This window comes from Homo sapiens, chromosome 2 (genome assembly GCF_000001405.40).
Source record: "Homo sapiens chromosome 2, GRCh38.p14 Primary Assembly".
Lineage (NCBI taxonomy): Eukaryota > Metazoa > Chordata > Mammalia > Primates > Hominidae > Homo > Homo sapiens.
The window spans coordinates 239,071,320-239,092,530 of record NC_000002.12 but is presented as its reverse complement, the minus strand read 5'-3'; the positions used below and the strand labels follow the sequence as shown (position 1 = coordinate 239,092,530).

The 21,211-nt window shown below is 53.9% G+C and overlaps 1 protein-coding gene and 1 non-coding gene across 44 annotated transcripts in view; both read left to right on the top strand.

Moving 5' to 3' along the window:
- Positions 1-21,211, top strand: part of HDAC4 (histone deacetylase 4) — a 353,482-nt gene that overhangs the window by 309,119 nt on the left and 23,152 nt on the right. For all 43 annotated transcript variants that reach the window (XM_047446489.1, XM_047446486.1, XM_047446483.1 and 40 more), the window contains 5 exons: positions 2,415-2,522; positions 4,917-4,972; positions 8,289-8,376; positions 10,310-10,429; positions 11,339-11,436. In XM_047446489.1, the coding sequence (XP_047302445.1) occupies positions 2,415-2,522; positions 4,917-4,972; positions 8,289-8,376; positions 10,310-10,429; positions 11,339-11,436 (470 nt within the window). The remainder of the gene's footprint in view (positions 1-2,414; positions 2,523-4,916; positions 4,973-8,288; positions 8,377-10,309; positions 10,430-11,338; positions 11,437-21,211) is intronic.
- MIR4441 (microRNA 4441) lies at positions 6,605-6,704 on the top strand. The gene has a single exon (NR_039643.1). It is a non-coding gene; the product is annotated as a microRNA 4441 (primary transcript).

Sequence of the window (21,211 nt, the reverse complement as noted above, 5' to 3'; positions counted from 1 at the left end):
AGCAGCTCCTTGGCACCCCAGGTGTGCAGAATCCCCAGAAGACCCTTCAGAACACGGGTGTAGTACACCCTCCGCTCCCTGCAGTGTTGGCCTAATCCCAAAGCCTAGTTCATTGTATGTTGGAGAGAAACCATCTCTGGGTGCTGTCCCCACAGGGGCAGCCTCGGGGCCTGGCCTGTCTGGGACCCCGCCTCTGCTGGCTGACACAGAGCAGGTGGCAGAATCTTGCCCTGCCCAGCTCTCACTCCTGCGATGTCACCTTGGATTTTTTTTTTTTTTTTTTTCCTCTTTGGAGACAGAGCTTCAGTCTGTTACCCAGACTGGAGTGCAGCGGTGCATTCATGGCTAACTGCAGCCTCGACCTCCTGGGCTCAAGTGATCTTCCCGCCTCAGCGTCCTGAGTTGTGGGGACTACAGGCCCAGGCCACCACATCTGGCTAATTTTTGTTTGTTTGTTTTTGAGACGGAGTCTGGCTCTGTCGCCCAGGCTGGAGTGCAGTGGCGCGATCTCGGCTCACTGCAAGCTCCGCCTCCCGGGTTCACGCCATTCTCCTGCCCTAGCCTCCCGTGTAGCTGGGACTACAGGCGCCCACCACGGCACCTGGCTAATTTTTTTTTTTTTTTTTGTATTTTTAGTAGAGACGGGGTTTCACCGTGTTAGCCAGGATGGTCTCGATCTCCTGACCTTGTGATCCGCCCACCTCAGCCTCCCAAAGTGCTGGGATTACAGGCATGAGCCACTGCGCCCGGCCCACATCTGGCTAATTTTTTGAAAAGAAAACCATCACCGAATACACTTCAGGAAATGTCTTCAGCCCCTTGAAAATGCATTTTAACTCACCTTGCTTTGATGATGAAGCTTCAAGACCGCCTGGAAAGAAATCCTCCCTCCCCACATAATGAGCGGTGTCTATCAAGTGGCAAGTCTGCCTGGTGGTGGACAGGAGCCCTCGAGGGCCTGGTCTGGGGAAGGGAGAGGCAGGGTGGACACGCCTGGCTCCTGCTTAGGAGCCCCAAAGCACTCGGCGCTCAGAGGGGCTCAGTTTGAGAAGGAGGCGTCCTGCAATGGACCTGCAATCGCCCTGGTCAGCACCGTGTGGAAGCTGAGCAACCTATGACACGGCTTCTAAGACCTCCACCGGGCTGGGCACCCCCAAGTCCCCGGTGTGTTACCCCACAGCAGCTTGCAGGCAAGGGACACACTTGGGGACAGATGCTCAGGTTCCCTGGGGCCAGCCCAAGGGCTGTGTATTTCATCTTAACACCTCCCTCCCCTGGCCAGACTCCCATAGGAGACTGCTCTGTGCAGAACTGGCTGTCCAGGTCTCTGTCTGTCGACTTTCCTCCTGAATTGAGCCAGGGCTGTAAGAAATTTCTGGTGTGCCTAAATAAATAAATGAGCCAACACACAATCGGGGATTGTTGACGTGTTTGTGTGAAACACGTTTTCTGTCTGAAGTGGAAAAGGCCAGCGGGCTGACTTGCTGGTGTCCAGGCAGAGCCGTGTACCGTCACTAGGGCAGAGCAGGGCAGCTCTCCTCACCCGCCCACACGGCCAGTCCCGCTTAGCTACGCTGGTCAACATGTGGAGCTTCCAGTTAAACTCGGCACAGGAGAAAGTCACTATTGGAAGAGACTGGTCGTGATTCCCCTTACATTTCATTTTGCTGCTAATTATTTGACAGGTCGACTATCCCTTATCCGAAATGCTTGGGGCCAGAAGTATTTCAGAGTTTGGTGTTTTTCAGATTTTGGAATATTTGCATTGTACTTACCAGTTCAGCATCCCTAATCCAAAAATCTGAAATCCAGAATGCTCCAGAGTGCATTTCCTTTGAGCGTCACGTAAGCGCTCAAAAAGTTTCCAGTTTTTTTTTTTTCCTTTTTGGAGACAGAGCCTCACTGTGTTACCCAGACTGGAGTGCAGAGGTGCATTCATGGCTCACTGCGGCCTCGACCTCCTGGGCTCAAGTGATCTTCCCGCCTCAGCCTACAAAATGCTTTTGTAGTATTTCGGATTTCAGATTCTCAGATCAGAGATACTCAAGCTGAATAACTCTCTTAACTACAGTTCCAGTTAAAAAAAAAAAAAAAAAAAAGGAAATAGATCACCTTGACATCATTACTTTTAGATGGAAGTATACTGAAGCAATTGAGGGAAAGGAGGATGCCTCAGAACAGGTCAGGACACATGCATCTTTCTTCTGGTAAATTCTCTTGTATTTTCCTGTTTAAACTTTTTGGCATGTCTTAAAAAGATTGAAGGCTGAACGTGGGCTGCAGCTGCCCTGGCTCTGGTAGGCCCTGGGGTTTCAGAAGCAGAGCCCACGGAACCTGAGCTGCTCTGCCCAGCCAGGGCTGGTGATGACGGTGGCCTGGGAGGGTGACCTCACTGTGGGGTGTTGTTTCCACAGGTGGACAGTGACACCATATGGAACGAGGTGCACTCGGCGGGGGCAGCCCGCCTGGCTGTGGGCTGCGTGGTAGAGCTGGTCTTCAAGGTGGCCACAGGGGAGCTGAAGGTCAGTCGGGGCCTGGACAGTGGTGGCCCTCCAGGAGGCCTGCCATAGATTCCCAGTGTGGGGAGGGGCCGCCCACTCCGTCTCCCTCTCATCAGGCTGGGAGGCGGCTGTGATGGGGAGGCGTGGACCCCACTCTGTCAGCACAGCCTCGCTATTGAATCAAAGAGACATTGCCCACATTTGTGATAGGGTATGTGCATAGTACAGAGATTCTCAATGATTTGGGTCTTAAGAACCCTTTATACTCTTAAAAATTTATACTCTTAAAAAAAAAAAAAAAGCTCCAAAGAGCTTCTGTTTACATGAGTTATATCCACAATATTGACTCTATTAGAGATTACAACTGAGAAATTTTCAAAATGTTTATTAATTTAAAAATAGCGACCGGGCACAGTGGCTCACACCTGTAATCCCAGCACTTTGGGAGGCCAAGGCAGGGGGATCACCTGAGGTCAGGAGTTCAAGAGCAGCTTGGCTAACTTGGCGAAACTCCTTCTCTACTGAAATACAAAAATTAGCTGGGCATGGTGGCGCATGCCTATAATCCCAGCTACTTGGGAGGCTGAGGCTGGCGAATCGCTTGAACCTGGGAGGTGGAGGTTGCGGCGAGCCGAGTCACGCCATTGCACTCCAGCCTGGGTGACAGAGTGAGACTCCGTCTCAAAAAAAACTAAAAAATTAAAAAGTAATAAAAAAATAAAAATAGCACTAATGTCTTGCCTGTGGACAGCAGCTGGTTCTCACACCTGCCCGGCGTCATTCTTGGGACATGTTGAAGTACATGAAGGAATCCTGGCCCCACACAGATACGTAATTGGAAATGGGAGCAGGATTTTAATAGACTTTTCAGAGGTATTCTAATTGTGGGTATTCTTTGACAGTATACCAAAAATTCAGCAAGTGGTAGTGTCTTGAAAATTAGCTGCAGTGTGGATCTGAAATCAAATCGTGGCCTCCTCCCCCTCCGTTTTGTTTAACTGAACCATTAGCCCTTCTTGGAGATCAAATCGATCCTTCGTTCATGGGTGATTGGTAGCACCGTGCGTTGGTCATTTGGAAACTTAGCTTCACGGAGTTACATGGATCTTCCATATTCTGACCCATACAGTATCAAAAAAGTCATTAATTTTTGAAACCATTAATATCACCCCCATCTCACCAGAAGTCTTATAAGTAGTGAGAGAGCCAGCAGGCTCACAGGGGCAGAGCCGTGTGTTCCAAACTTGTAATTTTCACTGGAAAGCTCACAGTTTCTCACGCTTCCTTCCCGTCTCTTTACTCGGGATGTTAAAAGGACGTGTTTGAGGGCGGAGATCTACTAAAATGTCTGAATACTGCTTCATCGAGCACATTGTTAAGAGAAGCTGCTCACACACACACACACGCCCTGGTGCTGTTCCCTGCCCGCCGTCTACCCTCCGGTGCTTCAGCACCATCGGCGCAGGTGTCAGGGCAGTGAAAAGAGTACATAGAGCCTCAGGACTACGTGGACTACAGACCCTCAGCAGGGGTCGGGACCGAGGGGTCTGCAGCCTACACTCGGAAGCACTGAGTGCAGAAACGCAGGGAGGCCAGGGCCTCTTGAGAGCGTTTGCCGCCACCTCATGGGCTGCCCTCGCCCCTTCCTGAGCCTGGTCCCTGCGGCGTCCGGCTCACCCCGTCCATGGCATTGTCACTCATGGTTGGCCGGCACTTTTTTTGAGGCTTCATTACAGACCTTGACCACACAGTGTCCTGTTGCTGGTGAGACCAGGAGAGGACTGGAATCCATTTTTATGGCAGCAACTACAGAGTGGTTTGCAGATGGATTTTTGACGCAGAAGTGATGGGGCAGAGGACAGCGTTTCTGCCCAGTGTGAGAGGAGCTGTTTCGTGGGCTGCCCACTTGCCCGCCATCCTGAGAGCTGAACTGCAGTAAGGACAGAGGCAGTCACGTGAAGGCCAAGCTGGGACACAACGTCTCTGCCCCGCGGCCAAGTCCTTGAGTGGGGCCCCTTCTGCTTCATCTTCCTCCAGTGGCCACCTAGCGGGTCCTGGTCCCGAGCCGACGGGGAGTGAGCACATCCTTTCCACATCACCCCGACCCCTGAGCCAAGGGCACCACGCCTCACCGACAGTTCTGAGAGTGGGCAGGCACCCACCTGTTATCCTAGTGACTGCGTTTCGGGGGAACCATTAGTAGCCCCCAGACCTCTTTAGGAGAAGGGCCCAGGCTTCCCGGAAAGGCTCCCAGCTGGCCCTGCATCCTGTCCCCATCACTGTGGCCAGGGTGCAGCAAGAAACTGTCCTCCTGTGTAGCCCAACTCTGCTAAAAGTTGAGTGTGCAACCATTTTCCCGTGGCTACAAAGTGTGTCTTTTGTTGCTCTCTCCTGGCTGTCTGGTGTCACCTGCAGAATGGCTTTGCTGTGGTCCGCCCCCCTGGACACCATGCGGAGGAGAGCACGCCCATGTGAGTACACGCCGCAGCCCCGCACAGCAGGGGAACCCAGGTCTTCCTTCCCTCCCTTAGGGCTGGGTGGGTGTGTGAGTGACTGCGGGGAGCTGGGCTGCTGTTTGCTGGCCACCCAGGATGTGCCGCATGCCGGCTTGGCTCCAGCTCCTGGGTGTGGAGTGCAGATGCCAAAGTCTGCGAGCATCACTGCTCGGTTATGACGGAGACAGATCAGAGGAAAGGATGGGAAAGGGTCTGTGGAGGTTAGTCCAGAGAAGCCTCTGGTTGTTGAGTAGTTGTCAACACTTGGGAGAGGAAACACCACTCACCCTCAAGTGAGTCACTGCAGCACTTGCTTGTCTAGAGGACTCAGGTCATTTTGCGCATGGCCTTTTAGCTGCCTGCCGAATGCCTGGTACTGACGCAGCAAGCCACAGAGCCACGTCCATGCAGGCAGCTATCCTGATGCTGTTTCGGGTCTTTCAGAGACTGCCGACGGTCCATACAGCTGAGGATCTGGGCAGGGTGGCGAGTGTGGGGTGTGGGTCCTCCCGGATCCATCCCTGTGTGTCCAGAGCCAGTGGCAGGACAGACCCGCAGCTGTCTGTGGAGTGCCTTGCAGCCTGGGTGGTGAATGAATGATCTATCCCGTCAAAGAGCATGCTGTCTCCTGGGACGGTAGCCGCTCTAGTGAGGAGGGGTGGTGCTAGAAAGAGCGTCTCCCCATGCTCTGGAGATGGAGAAGGCGTGCCTGATCTTGCCAGCTTCGGTGAGGAGGAGGTGGCATAGGGCTCTGCCTTGGAGAGTTGGAGCAGCAGTTTGTCAGATGGCAACGCAAGAACAAGTGCAGATACAAGTTCACTATCAGGCTGTGGCCAGGAAGCAGTCAGAACAAGACAGAACCGCAGGGGCCCGGGAAAGGGCCTCCCTGTCACCCCTGGGAAGTCAGGCGTCCACGGAGGGGCCGGCAGGACGTGAGAGATAGTCAGATCCGCGTGTTAGAGCAGAATCTCCTTCACGTACAGGGAGGAGACTGTACGTGAGAGATAGTCAGATCCACATGTTAGAGCAGAGTCTCCTTCGTGTGCAGGGAAGAGATTGTACGTGAGAGACAGTCAGATCCGCGTGTTAGAGCAGATTCTCCTTCATGTACGGGGAGGAGACTGTACGTGAGAGATAGTCAGATCCGCGTGTTAGAGCAGATTCTCCTTCATGTACAGGGAGGAGACTGTACGTGCGAGATAGTCAGATCCGCGTGTTAGAGCAGAGTCTCCTTCGTGTACAGGGAAGAGACTACGTGCGAGATAGTCAGATCCGCGTGTTAGAGCAGAGTCTCCTTCATGTGCAGGGAGGAGACTGTACGTGAGAGATAGTCAGATCCGCGTGTTAGAGCAGAGTCTCCTTCGTGTACAGGGAAGAGACTGTACGTGCGAGATAGTCAGATCCGCGTGTTAGAGCAGAGTCTCCTTCGTGTACAGGGAAGAGACTACGTGCGAGATAGTCAGATCCGCGTGTTAGAGCAGAGTCTCCTTCATGTGCAGGGAGGAGACTGTACGTGAGAGATAGTCAGATCCGCGTGTTAGAGCAGAGTCTCCTTCGTGTACAGGGAAGAGACTGTACGTGCGAGATAGTCAGATCCGCGTGTTAGAGCAGAGTCTCCTTCGTGTACAGGGAGGAGACTGTACGTGAGAGATAGTCAGATCCGCATGTTAGAGCAGAGTCTCCTTCGTGTACAGGGAGGAGATTGTACGTGAGAGATAGTCAGATCCGCGTGTTAGAGCAGAGTCTCCTTCATGTACAGGGAGGAGATTGTACGTGAGAGATAGTCAGATCCGCGTGTTAGAGCAGAGTGTCCTTCGTGTACAGGGAGGAGATTGTAACCGCCAGGGAGGGATGCTTGTTGGAATCTTTGTAGCTTTACCTGAAAACCACGTGTTTGCTCCACATCCCAGAACAGTCACTTGGGCACCAGGCTTCCTGTTTGTTTCATTTCTCTGAAGTTTCTTTTCTAATTTGAACCTGAGTTGTTGGATATTCCAAATAATAAACCTCAGAGGAGACAAACGAATTGTGTTTTGTTGCAGCTCTTCGCTGTGCTCCCCGTGAGCCGCTGCAGGAGCTCAGCGTCTAGGATGTCCTGGGGCGTGTGGGCTTCCCCATGCCAGCCCGGATTCTGAAAACAAAACAACTAGTGTTTCTCCGTTTCTGTGGTCATTCGGACAAAGGGAATTTGAGATCAAGAAGGTTTTCGTTGTTATTTGAATCACTTTCATAGCTTGTTTTCTTGGTCTCTTGAGTAAGACTCTCTAAAATTAAAGGTAATTTATGTATTGGAATATAGGAAGGTCAGCAGGAAGCAACTGAGATGAACGGCTGCCATGTCTCCTGGGGCGTGGCGGCAGCTCCTGAGAGGAAGGGTTCCAGGTGAAGATGAGGGAAATGTTGGTAACATGTGAAATAGGGTTCCCTACCAGAGGAGCGTGGGGGACCTCCAAGCAGGAGAGTGTGTGTGTGTGTGTGTGTGTGTGTGTGTGTCTGTCTGTCTCAGTATGGAACTGTGGATGTGTGTGATAGGTATATGCTTATGTGTATATGTGTGTGTGTGCTTGTATGTGTCTGTGGTTTGTGTGTGTGTGAGTGTTTCTGTATGGGGTGTTCATGTGTATCTGTGCATGTGTGTCTACGTGGGGGGGGTGGGTATGGGCGTATCTGTGGGGCATATATGTGTGTAGGGCGTTTGCATGGTGTGTGTGTCTCTATCTGTGGGGTGTGGGGTGTGTGTGGGGTGTGTGTCTGTGTGGAGTGTGTGTGGGGTGTGTGTCTGTGGTGTATGGGCGTATCTGTGGGGCATGTATGTGTGTAGGGCGTGTTGCATGGTGTGTGTGTCTGTGTGGGAGGGTGTGTCTCTGTGGTGTGTGTGTCTGTGTGGGGTGTACGTGTGTCTCTGTCTGTGGTGTGTGTGTCTGTGGGGGGTGTGTGTGTGTCTCTGTCTGTGGTGTGTGTGTCTGTGTGGGGTGTGTGCATGTCCGTGTCGGTTAGCCGACCCTATGGCATTGGCTAAGATTCCCCAGTGGCTTGTTTGGGAGCTGTGTGTGTGTGTGTGTGTGTGTGCGCGCGCACGCGTGTGAGTGTGTCTGCATGTGGGGTGTGTACGTGTCTGTCTGTTAACCGATTCTCCGGCATCACTGAGGGTTCCCTGCGACGTATTCAGGAGCTCTGCACTCACAGAGACCTCTTAGGTCTGCGTGGACCCCGAGTGGCTCTCTGGCGGGCCGTGGAGAAACTGGCCACCGCCCACCTGCGCTTCGTCTCCAGCGTCAGTTCTCTCCCGCAGGGGCTTTTGCTACTTCAACTCCGTGGCCGTGGCAGCCAAGCTTCTGCAGCAGAGGTTGAGCGTGAGCAAGATCCTCATCGTGGACTGGGTAAGCAGAGCCGCCTTGGCCAGCGCAGCTCAGGTTGCTCCTTTGCCGTCCCCGAGCGGACAGCAGCGTGTGGACAGAGGAGCTGGGCTCTTGGATGTGGGAAGCTTAGGTTTCTGGAAACGGTCTCAAAGATGCGGAGAAGTAAAGCCCCAAACCTGCTACAAGTCATTGTACAGCTTCCGTCAGCCGACCCTGGCGAATGGGGTCCTGGCGTGTCTAAAAATGTGCCTGTGGGTGACGGCAGCGGCCAGGGCCACCCTCGACGAGATCTTCTTGGAAGACAGGTGTTGGGGAGGAGGCTGTGTCCACATCTACTTTGCGTGTGTGGCCTGGGAGCCTGGGAGGACCCTCACCCTGGTCGAAGGCGGCAGTCTGCTTCTCAGTCACCCCAGTGAAGCCCGTGCCTTCCTGCTGCTGTGTGGGCACCTGGTCCTGCTGGAATGGGGGGTGCCACTGCCCCCAAAAGAGTCATCTCTTTTTAAATAATGCTATATGATGTCCGAATCTGAATTCCACGAATAGGTATACTCATTCTTATACCGGAAATTAATATTCAAGATATTCATCTTATTACTCTTTTTAAAGCCAGATATATACATATTTAGTGTTCTCTTTGGTATTTATGATTTATTTCATAATTTTTAAGGGAAAAAAGCAGGCCCTGTCAGGTAGGGTTATGATTTGAATTGGAGAAGTCCTTCTGAGTTTGGGTAAAGAAACAATATGGCACAGCCAGGACAGCCATGCTGTTTCGGAGAGGCAGGTCAGGGGATGCGGCAGAGCAGCGGGTCCCCCACACCCAAGGACCTGCGAGCCGGGAGCCCTCCCTCAGCTCCTCCTAAGGGAGCAGGTAGGAGTGCCTGGGAAGAGAGCAGTGTGAGGTCGCTGATGGCTAAAGACTGGGGACCCATCCCCAAAAGAGTGAAGCGCTAGGACACGCAGACAGGCTGCGTAGACCCTGTGTGGCGTGCTCCCTGCGCGCTGAGCTGTGATATTGCCCATGTACACACCATGCGGACAGGGTCATCTCAGTGTGAAGCCACATGTCGGGAAAGCCTCCATGTGCGTCTTCACAGCGATTACCTACTCTGTGGGGTGGAAGGTTCTTGTCCATCGCTCCTCACCTGTAGCTGCCCTTCCGCCTTTTCTGTGATGAGCACAGATAACGGAGCAGCAAGTTCTCGTGCTGGGAACATCAGGGCTGCATGCTGTCTTCTCAGGCACACAGCTGTTCTCAGCGGGGCCACCCCCTCGCCCGCCCATCCTGGTGACCACCTGCCCTGTGGCCCGGGGCAGAACAGCCACGGTCAGTAAAGCCCCAGGCTGCCTGTGCTCTCTGCTGCATCTGACCTGTGGGTTTTGTGATTAAGAAACGGTGCTTGCCATTTGGGCACAGGGGCCTGGACCCCGTACTGTGTGTGCCTGTCACTCACGGACACCTGGGACTTGTCTCCTGCCGAACGCCCTGCCTGGCATGGAATTGGCACCTCCCACGTGCCTGCAAGCGGGCAGGCCACAGCCAGTGACCTCCTTCCTGACAGAGGCTGAGGAAGTGGCTCACTTGTCAGAGACACGGCAGGTGTAGGAAATTGATCAGATGGCTTCGTCTGGGAAATGGTGGCCTCTAGGCCTGGCTGAACTCCAGCCCCATCGGCTGCTGGAGTCAGGATTGTGCCATGGCGCTAAGGGCGAGGGAAACAGTGCTGCAGACGCGAACATTGGCCCTTAGAACCCCTGCGACCCTGCACCACGTAGCCCTGACCCACACAGCCCCAGAATCGCGCCTGCCGGGTACGGGCCCAGCTGGAGGGTAATGTCATTCCTGAGCAGGAGCCGTTGTCACTAAGCACAACTGGGGTTGGGGACGGCCCTCAGGGGAGGCCACCCTCCAATACCTGCCTCAGCCCTGAAGTAGTTGTCCCTGCTCTTTAAGGACGTGCACCATGGAAACGGGACCCAGCAGGCTTTCTACAGCGACCCCAGCGTCCTGTACATGTCCCTCCACCGCTACGACGATGGGAACTTCTTCCCAGGCAGCGGGGCTCCTGATGAGGTAGGTGGGGTATATAAGGGCCTCTGGGGGGAAAGGGGGACTGCGGGGAGCCGCTGTGGGGGCACGGGGCAGACGGTCCACAGCTGCCCGGCAGCAGTGAGTGCGGCCTTCGTGCTCACTTAAGCCCAGACAGTAACTTCAGTCAGACGTCAGCCTGCATCGTATCGCGTGTGCACAGGTGGCCTGTGTTTTGTCTGAAGTACAAATGAGAGGCTGGATATTGTTTCTGGTTCCCATCCAGGCAGACAGAGGTGTTTGTGAAGGAGGAGGTGTGTGGTGCCCGTTTTCCTCCGGGCAGGGCCCAGGCCACTGTCTTCCACAGGACACCCTCCGGCAAGGGGCTCTGTCCACTGTCCTTTGCCCGGCGCGGGGCTGCATGGCGGCCCCAGGAACGGCAGGCCCAGCGGCTCCTTGACAACGCCCCAGGTCCCCGTTCAGAGCCTGCCCACTCTGAACAGAGGCTCCAACAGCAGGGCTTTCATCCAGGAAGACGCTCCGTCTGCCTCTGGATATTATTTTTTTAGAGGAAGTAGGAAATGACAGGCTCATCGGAGACACTTTCTGCCCAGAGAGACCCAGGTCTGATTCCCTGATGTAACACACGGCACACAACACAGGGCGGCGGGTCCGCAGAAATGTCAGTGCAGGGCCTTGGTGTGCCAAGGGCAGGGTCGGCGAGAGCCTACAGCAGCCAGGAAAAGGGCCCCCTTGCTGATGTCAGTGTGCCCCTGTCAGTGGGGCCCCTTCACACGCGTCTTAATGAATATGCACCAGGAGATCAGGACACGTGGGCTCTCCCCAGGGGCCCACCAAGGCCGAGCCCATCCCGGTGCCACCTGCATCAGGCGTTCCTGTCAGACAGGTCCCGCTCGGGGTCCATGACGTGTGTTTCTCTCCTTCTGGCCACAGGTGGGCACAGGGCCCGGCGTGGGTTTCAACGTCAACATGGCTTTCACCGGCGGCCTGGACCCCCCCATGGGAGACGCTGAGTACTTGGCGGCCTTCAGGTGAGCCTCCCGGCTTCACATGACACCTGAAGTAGCAGCTTTTCCTCTGTGCACACATTCCAGGAAGCACTTGTTGGAGATGAGCGTGTCTGAAACTGGTCTGTGGCTGAACGGGGCTGTGGGGTCCGGAGGAGCTGTCTCAGTTCATTCTTCAGTGCCAAGCGTGGAATCTTGGCGACTATCTTCTTACCATCAGCTCTTAGTGCTCCCTTTTGTGCATGAAATAAAACCAGGAGCTCACTTTGGGTCGATGGTGAGAGAGTGATGGAGACAGAGGCAGGGACTTTTGTGCAGAGTGTTATGTTCATGAGAAACGAAGGCAAAGACCTGCAGGGTCTCATGATCTCCTAATTCTTCTTCCGCAAACCTCCTGTGATGTGATGTCCAATGGAAATAAGTATTTCTTCTTTATTTATTCCTAAAAATCAAAGGCAGTTGTCGCCCTCCCTCCCATTTCCTTCGTGTGGCTGTGACCCTTCAGCATTTAGCCGCAGGGCGCGCCGTTTAAAGACGCAGTGTTTGCTTTTGTCATCAAGCGGTTCCTTCTCCTTTGGTCTAGGCCAGATTGGGGTCATTCCTGTGACCCAAAATGGGATGCTGAGCAGCGCAGGTTTTCTTGTCATCGTTTTAAAATGGCAGCTTCACCTGCCGTGGTGGAGTGACGGGCGTCCAGGGCAGCAGCCCACAGCCCACATCGGTTCCCAGAGCCACGTGAGGAGAAGGGTTTTATTAGCGTGGCTGAGCCTGACATGCCGTGTCTCTGTTAGAAAACGCTGTCAGTATGGTGTCAAAGCCCCATACAGTCTTCAGCGCTTTTCTCTTTCTCTGTCTCCATGGTCTTGTTCTGATTTACATACATATAAAACGCACGTGTGCAGACGTGTCTTTGTGACGTGTGTGCATGTGTCTGTGTATGGATGTGAGTGCACGTCTGCATATGTGTGTGTCCACGTGCGTGTGTGTGTTTGTGTGGGTCGGTGTTCATCTGTGTGTGTGTGTCTGTGTGGGTGGGTGTTCGTTCATCTGTGTGTGTGTCTGTGTGGGTGGGTGTTCATCTGTGTGCATGTCTCTCAGTGCTTGTGCAGGTGTCTACAGCCATGTGCATGTCTGCAGGTGTGTGTCCATGCCTATGTGTGTTACACACATCTGTGTGGGTGTGGATGCATGTCTGTGTGCATGCAGTATACGTGTGTGTGCATATCTCTGAGGACACACCCATGTGCTTGTCTTTGCATGCACATGTCTTTGTGTGTATATCGCTGTGTGTGCACATCTGTATATGAGTACACACGTGTGCTTGTGTGTCTTTGCATGCACGTCTTTGTGTGTATATCTCTGTGTGTGTGTGCACATCTGTATATGAGTACACACACGTGTGCTTGTGTGTCTTTGCATGCACATGTCTTCGTGTGCACCTGAGTATGCACGTCTCCGGCAGGTGAGGCCCTTCACAAGGACATGTGTAAACGTCTTGTGTGGACTCTACCACATGCTTTCTGGGGACGGTGAATAAGTCACGAGACCCCTCTCAGTGTCTGCTCACTCTTCTCTAACTGGGGTCCGTTGCCCTCCTTGGAAAGGTTGTTGAGATCTGGTAACATAAAGGCCCTGGCCCAGGACACGTGGGCCCCCCTCCCCAGGCACTCAGTGGTTCCCAGAGGGAACAGACCCCATCTGACGGAGCCCAGGCTGCTTGGCTGCTCCGGCAGTGAGCCCGGGCTGTGCCGGTGGGAGTTCATCTGCTCCTCAGTGGACCTGCCCTGATCTGTACCTGAACCACTTTTCCCCTGATCTCATCGGTTTGATTTTGATGTTTCTTCTTACTCTTGATCAGATTTAATGTAATGTTGACAGATGCCCTGCCTAATTTAAGAGAGAAGGACGTCCCCCAATGTGTACCACTTCCGAAAATGAGCTCATATGAAATCGGACCCCTGGCGTGGGCGTGTCACCATCTGCTCATGGAATGTGCTCCCGTTGCCCCTCACTTAGTTGTCACCCCAGAGAACTGGCCCCCCTTGGAGGCTTCTCTGAAAGCAAAGTCTCTGGCCACCATAAGAGGTGTGCATGCTGCCTGATGGACTTCCTGCCTGAGTGAACACTGGTGCCACCCGGGGGACCCAGGGCCCACTGTGGCCAAATTCCCGTGCAGAGAGAGAAGGCAGGGCTTTCCTGGTGGACGGGGAGAAAGGGGGTGCTGCCCTCTTTCAGGTCAGTGGTCCCAGGCCAGGTTTTGATGGAGCCACCCTCACCCCATAGGCGTTTCTCAGTGGTGCCTTCGGCTCTTGGGTCCTGGGGTGAAACCCTCACCCCGTGGCATCCCTGCTGGCGGGCAAGCCCAGGCCCAAAGCAGCAATGGGCGTCTGCCGTCAGGGTCACTCCCCCTCCCCAGGCCCCGGCCGGCCCAGCCAGCCTTTAGGATGAACGTGCCTTTCTGAGTTGCTCTTGGCGTGTGCTTTAATCTCCTGCCAAGTGTGTCCGTGATAATACCTTATCAAGTGAACTTTTTAAAGCTTAAATAGCATCTTTGAAAAGGAAAATTGTTTCAGGGTTTTTTTTTTATTGATTTTAATGTAAAATAGCACTTTGAAGTTTACAATTTATGGTTCCCTGGGCATCCGATGATGGGGAAGAAGGGTCAGAAATTGGTTTTCCCCTTTCTTCTGCTCTTCTCCCCCACGGGGGCCCCCCGGGGACAATGCATGCCTTCCAGGCAGCACCTTGTTATTCAGACCCGTTGCCTGCCACATTGCATTTTCAGGGGATCAAGCCTAAGACGAAGAAAAGATAAGAAAATTGCCCCTAATGAAATCCAGAAGCAGCCGGCACTTTCTCCTCAGGCCCGGAGACTCGTAGGAGAAAAGGGAACCTTAATTCAAACCAGTCCCGGTGCCAGACGCGGCTTTGAAGTTGCTGAGTAAAGTCTGAGCCGCTGGGGGTGGGGGCTTGTAGGGAGATGACGATGACGATGAAGATGGTGCTCTGTAACCCATCCCTCACCTGTGCGCGGGGACATGGGGACTCTTCCGTCAGGGATGAGCGCCACATCCAGATGCCCGTGGTTCGTAGCTTAGATTCCACTGTGATATTACGAAGTTTATCAAAGATGTCTCTGAAACTGGATCTTCTCAAGCAATAACTGTGATAGCTTCACGAATTGGCATTAGCCTTGAAATTGAGCAACTGGGCAAAGCTATTTCACTTTCCCCAAACTTTCAAGTAAGACGGGAAGGCTGAGGCTCTTGAATGTTCGTTCCTTCCGTAAGCTGTGTTGCTGTGTTGCTGCTGTTGCTGCCTTTTGTAGACAGGTGTGTTTTAGGAGTCGCAGCGCCTGATGTCTGCTGTTTTCACCATTGCTGAGTGGCACCCGCTGCACACACCACGCTGGTCCCTGGGTTTCTTGCCTGAGGAAGTCAGGGTTATGAAGTTTTCATACAGACCGTGCCACCTTCTTTTCTAAAAGCAATTATGTCTCTTTAAGTGCATCCAAGTATTTTCCTATGTAGAAATTTATCTGAGAAGCAAAAAGAAGCAAAAGCATATAAGCTACAGCCTCAGAGCTGAGAGAGCTCGTCCTGCGCCAGCCTTCGCTCGCCTGTGGGGCCGGCCCTGTAAGAAGCGAACAGTGGAGCCGGCACAGTGCCTGCCCTGGAGGATAGCGGGGGACTGGGAGGACAAGCTCTAGGCAGGCCCGGTAAGACCTCAGGGGACCTGCCCACTTGGTGGGGCCAAGGAAGTTTCTGGAGGAGGCAAGCCCCCAGCTGAGTCCTGGAAGAACGAGCCTGGCACGGGACATTATGGGAGAAGGGCCGTCCCGAAGGAACAGAGCCCGATGGTGCAAACCCGCTCACCTGGGCTGCATCCACAGAGCCAGACCTTGGCCCTGATGGCAGGGGCTCTATCGGGGCCTCTGACTGTGGAATGAAGAAGCATCACGGCCAGCTCTGCATGTTGGACAGGCCCGTCTTGTGGCAGCTTAGGTGACAGACTTGGACCTGGCAAAGAGCATTCCAGGGTAGGATCTGGGGGCCAGTGGACAAGCCCAGAAAACAGCGGCAGAGATTGGGACAGGGCCACAGGCTGGTGAGGTGGGGCCATCTCAAAGAGGTTGAAGTGAGATGGGATTGAGGGGAGTAGGGGCTGATTTTGGGGGAGAGGGCACTTGGTGAGGTCTCGAGGTGCTGGCTTAGAGGAGGCTGAAGGGTGCTGGGCAGAGATCCAGCGGGAGAAGGTTCAGGTGGGGGTGGATGAGGGTTCAGTGGGGACGCTTTTGCTTCAGTCTGTTTTCAGGAAAAAGTGAGAAAGTGTCCATCCAAGTGGGTGGTTGGGAGCATCTCCACCTGGAGGCCCCTTAGTAGGGAGAGCCAGTGAGGAGCCAGTTTGTGTGGACGATGCCCCAGGGCATTTATTGGGGCAGAACGGCAGCCAGAAACTCAAGCATGGCGTGCCAGCCCTGAGCCCAGTTCCCACGGAGTCCCCAGAGGCTTGCCGGCTGTGGGTGGCCACAGGACTGCAGCCTCTTGGCCCCATAAGCTCGGTTTGCTCTGAGGCTTGTGTTGACGGAAGGTGTGGTGAGTTTTGTTTAGGGTCCTACTAGGGGAATGAACTGGAAGGTCATTTCTTTCCAGATGTTGAAACCCAGCTGTTAAGTGAATTATTGCATTTAGATGCAGTTGTGGCTTTTGAGGATGGTATGTACAGGCCATAATTTGATGGTATGTGGTGGTTTAGAGCTAGACGTGCCCCGTGACACAGCCCCTTGCGCAGAGCACAGCTGGGAGGCTGCACGAGCGATGGCCTTTCGAGGAAGCAGAGTGGCCGGCACCCTGCCTGCTGTCCCGGTCCAGCTCTGTTCCCCCTGGGAAGCCGAGGGGCGTGGCCAACACCCGCCTGCTGTTCCAACCCAACCCAGCTCTGTTCCCCTGGGAAGCCCAGGAGAGTGGCCCGGCACCCGCCTGCTACTGCTATCCCGGCCCAGCTTTGTTTCCCCGGAAGCTGAGGGGAGTGGCTGGCACCCGCCTGCTACTGCTATCCTGGCCCAGCTTTGTCTCCCAGGAAGCCAAGGAGAGTTCGCTGGCACGCGCCTGCTACTGCTATCCCAGCCCAGCTCTGTTTCCCAGGAAGCTGAGGGGAGTGGCTGGCACCCGCCTGCTGTCCCAACCCAGCTCTGTCTCCCTGGGAAGCCGAGGAAAGTGGCCAGCACCCACCTGCTATCCCGGCCCAGCTTTGTTTCCCGGGAAACCAAGGGGAGTGGCTGGCACCTGTCTGCTGTCCCAGCCCAGCTCTATTCCCTGGGAAGCTGAGGGGAGATGTCGTCTTCAGGCTGCAGGTGCAGGTTGGCTGATGACCGAGTGAAGGGTGCAGTGCTGTGTCGGTAACGAAGGTGCCAGAGAAGCCACATTGAGGCCACGGGAAGGGGATGCGTGGCACCCCACGGCTTCACACGGGACCTCCCTAAATGCAGAGGCCACCGCGAGGAGAAGCCGCTCTCTCCCCTTAGCACCACGTTTCCCTCTGTACGTGCCTCACGGGCACAGGCACCCTCTGGGCACCACAGTCATGGCTTCCCTGGGCTTGCCGGCCCCAGGGGTGCACCTTACAGGCATTTGTCCACCTTCTCTAAAGATCCCCTCTTTCCACCCATTTCTCCTGCCTCTTGAGCTGACGATCAGTGGACGATCAGTGGGCCTACTGCCTTGGGAAACTGCGAGCCCACCCCTCTCTCCCCTCAGGTTGCCCCAAGAAAGGCCAAAAGTGACCTCATGGAAATACTCTCCTTAAAGTGATGGCTTGAGAGGCCCACGGCAAACATCTCAATCTTATTTTTTTAGAGACTGAGTTCTTTTTTTTTTTTTTTTTTTTTTTTTTTTTGAGACGGAGTCTCATTCTGTCGCCCAGGCTGGAGTGCAGTGGCGCGATCTCGGCTCACTGCAAGCTCCTCCTCCCAGGTTCATGCCATTCTCCTGCCTCAGCTTCCTGAGTAGCTGGGACTACAGGCACCCGCCACCACGCCCAGCTAACTTTTTGTATTTTTTAGTAGAGACCGGGTTTCACCGTGTTAGCCAGGATGGTCTCGATCTCCTGACCTCATGATCCGCCTGCCTCGGCCTCCCAAAGTGCTGGGATTACATGTGTGAGCCACCGTGCCCGGCCGAGACTGAGTTCTTTATTAAAAGTTTAATTCTGGGAATAAAATGTGAGTCCAGTTTCCCATTTTTTGCAGCATCTATTAAACAGGGACATTCCTTCAGCTTCCTCTTGTAGGAAAGTCGTGGAGGGTAAGCACAGTCCTGAAGACACAGGGAGTGCCATGCTCAGCTTCCTTTTTACAGGCAAAGAAGTCATGTCCCATGGAGGAGAAGGGACGTTTCTTAGTCGCGCCACAAACGGGTGCTGAAGGTGCACTCATGCACCTCACGTTCTGACCTTCTTATGTCTAGCAGGTGTTTGGGATCACAACCTAGAGGGTGTTGAGCCCAGTAAAATGAAAATGAGTGTGTGGGCACGTGCATCCGACTGTGCCCCACGCAGCCTCACGTGTGGCCGACGTGCCAGTGCCCACGAGCCTGGGCTCATCTTTCCCATTTTGTTTTGACTGGCTTTGAGGCAACACCACACACCAAGCCTAGACAGCAGAGACTCTCTTGGTATGAACTTCATTTAACGGCGATTTTCACAGGACTTCTTTTTGGAGGGGGATTAGAAGTAAAATAGCTCAGCAGCACTTCAAAGTGGGGAAGTAAAGCCTCCACGTGCGCTCGCTGCAAAGCAGCAGTCAGAGTGCCTCGCCAAGGACACAGCGTCCACACAAAACGCCTGTGGTTCTCATTGAAAAAGGTCTTGGCTTTAAAATCCACACCAAAAGCATGGCTGGAAATGTGTTTTTCTGTCCAAAGAAAAAGGTTTTATGACAAGAACTTTATTAAAATAATTAGAAGCGAGTCTCCTTGGGATGATGTGGACAGTTGAAAGCAGAGGGCGGCCCCCTCAGTCCTGCGGCCCCCCTCAGTCCTGTGGCCCCCTCAGTCCTGCTTCCCCACTCAGTCCTGCTGCCCCCCTCAGTCCTGCTGCTCCCCTCAGTCCTGCTGCCCCCCTCAGTCCTGCGGCCCCCTCAGTCCTGCGGCCCCCCTCAGTCCTGCTGCCCATTAGGTTGGTCAGAGCCATGGAGGAAGCCTCGGAATGTCGGTCAGAAAGGACTGTGGGGCCAGTGCCTTCCAGTGTCCAGGGCAGGGCCCTGGGTCCAGCAAGAGTCAAAGGACTCCTGGATTCCAAGGCATTCTCTCCATCCTGCCACTGACTAGACTGATTTCTCCCCTCCCAGCCCTGCGGCGGGAGTGCCGACACCAACTCCACGCACGCTCTGAGGCCAGTGCGGTGTTTCCTGTGTTGTACACCATGTTTGCGAAATCGCCATGCTTTGTGGTGGGGTCCCAGTAGGTGAGAAGAAACCTCTCACTCTGGGACCAGAATCATGCATGGAAGAATGTTACAGAAGTTGTATGGACAGGACCAGAGCAGAGGTTTGGGCAACTCCAGCTGGTGGGCCAAGTCCTGCCGCCTGTGCTCTTGGCACAGTGTTATCAGAGCACAGGGACGCTCGCACGCCGATGCACTGTCTGTCCTGTCTTGGGCACCACAAGGGCAGCATCACGTGGTCCTGGCAGAGACCGTGTGGCCCACAGACTGAGGTCAGGTGCCTCCTATCTGACCCGTGGCAGGAAGCTCGCTGCCCCTGTCTAGATTCACCTTGTTTCCTCAGCCCCTAACGATGGCCCTCGGGGCACAGCTCCTGTGTCCTTGGAAAGCACTTTCTACAGCTGCCGCAGAGGCAGGTCTAGGGGAAATTGTGTGGACTGGCTCTCTTCAGAAAAAAGAACAGAAGCAGACTGCTCAGAAGCCACCCAGGGTCTCCTGTGACTCCCATCTAAGTTCCAGAAGTGAGTTTCTTGGCGGGCAAGGTGCCTAGGTGTGGATTTGACGCATGTTTGGAGGGCAGAGTTTGTCAGCACTGACTTGAACAGGCTGAAGCCACACAGTCCCACGCATCACTCTTCTCCCGTCTGAGCTTGCTCATGGGACGCGGGGCACCAGGATCAGGCACCGCGTGCTCCCAGCATTGAGATGGGCCCTCCCGTTGCCTCAGCGTCCCTGATGGGACTCATGACTGCTGGCCCTCTAGAGAGTAGCCCGCGGGATCTTCACCTGGTGTTTAAGCCCTTGGGGGTTGTGTCCCTCCACCACCAGAAATCAGAGGAACTTTTCAATAAGATTCTGATCTGCGGTCATCCCCGAAAAGGGGTCACATTGAATTTTCAGCATTTTTGTTTCTTCTGGTCAAAGTTGATACTTTCAGTGACATCAGTGGGGAATTTCATTTGTAATAAAAGCTGAATGAAAAAGTTTTAGGGCCAGCCCTGCTGCCGTCTGCCGTGATGTTTCTGGAAGGTCCTTGGTGGTGGGAAGGGACACTGGGCCCGGTGAGTGCATTTTTGGCTGCCCCCAGGGAGGGGCCTCTGAAAATCCATATGAAGGGAGGCGCCCATCGGGTGATGCACTTGGCCCACACGCGTGTGCTGGGGAGGCCGTGGGGACACAGAAGTGTGCTTCGGTGCAGGACAGGCTGGGCTGAGCAGCTCCAGGAAGTAGGCGGTGGTGAAACCCTAAAACATGGACCTACTCACACAAGGGCTTGGTGAGGGGACCCCCAGAGCTCACAGCACAAGTGGGAATCGTGCAAACTAGGCTTCATGGTGGAAATACCAGGAGACTTTTAAAAGTTCGTAGAAAATGCATATTTTGAAAAAAACTGCATGGGTTTCAAAATGTTTCTGCACCAAAATAAATTCGCACTAACGTGTTATATCTGGACAGGATCTAGTTTGAGGCACCAAGGATAAAACGTCAGTTTGAAAAGAGCCCTTCTCAGAGCAACGTGAATTCTGCTAAAACTGAAGCCAGAACAAACAGCAAGTTTACAGTGAAGCTTGGGTAGGAAGAGTGGTGAAATCATTGATACTTTATGAAAAGTTTATGGGGACAATGCCCCAAAGAAATCAGCAGTTTACAAATGGATGACTCATTTTAAGAAGGAATGTGCAATGGTGTTGAAGATGAAGCCCCCAGCTGCAGACCATCCACATCAATTTGTGAGGAAAAAATTCATCCAGTTCATGCCCTAATTGTAGAGGACCCACAATTAACAGCAGAAGCAACAGTTGACACCATGGGCGTCTCAACCGGCTCAGCTTACACAACTCTGCCTGCAGAATTAAAGTTGAGCAGACTTTCCAGTCAGTGGGCACCAAAACCACAGCGTCCAGATCAGCTGCCGACAGGAGCAGAGCTTTCGGTGGAAATGTTCAACAGGTGGACTCAGGGTCCTGAGTGTCATAACAGGAGATGGAGCACGGCTTTCCCAGGACCATCCTGAAGACAAGGCACAACCACAGCACCGGCTACCGAGAGCCAGAGGTGGCCCAGTCACAGCAGTAGCAGGCTGGTCAAGCAGGAGTAAAGGTCATGACAGCAGGTTTGGGGAATGCCCAAGGCATGTTGCCTGTTCTGGAGGACCAAAGAATGATAACACCTGCTTATTGTGAGAGTGTTTTGAGAAAGTTCCTCAGCACTTTCACAGAAAATCACTGGGAGAGTTTCCCCCGAGAGTCTTTTTTTGTTTTCTGAGGTGGAGTTTTGCTCTTATCAGCCAGGCCGGAGTTCAGTGGCATGATCTTGACTCACTGCAACCTCTGCCTCCTGGGTTCAAGCGATTCTCTCA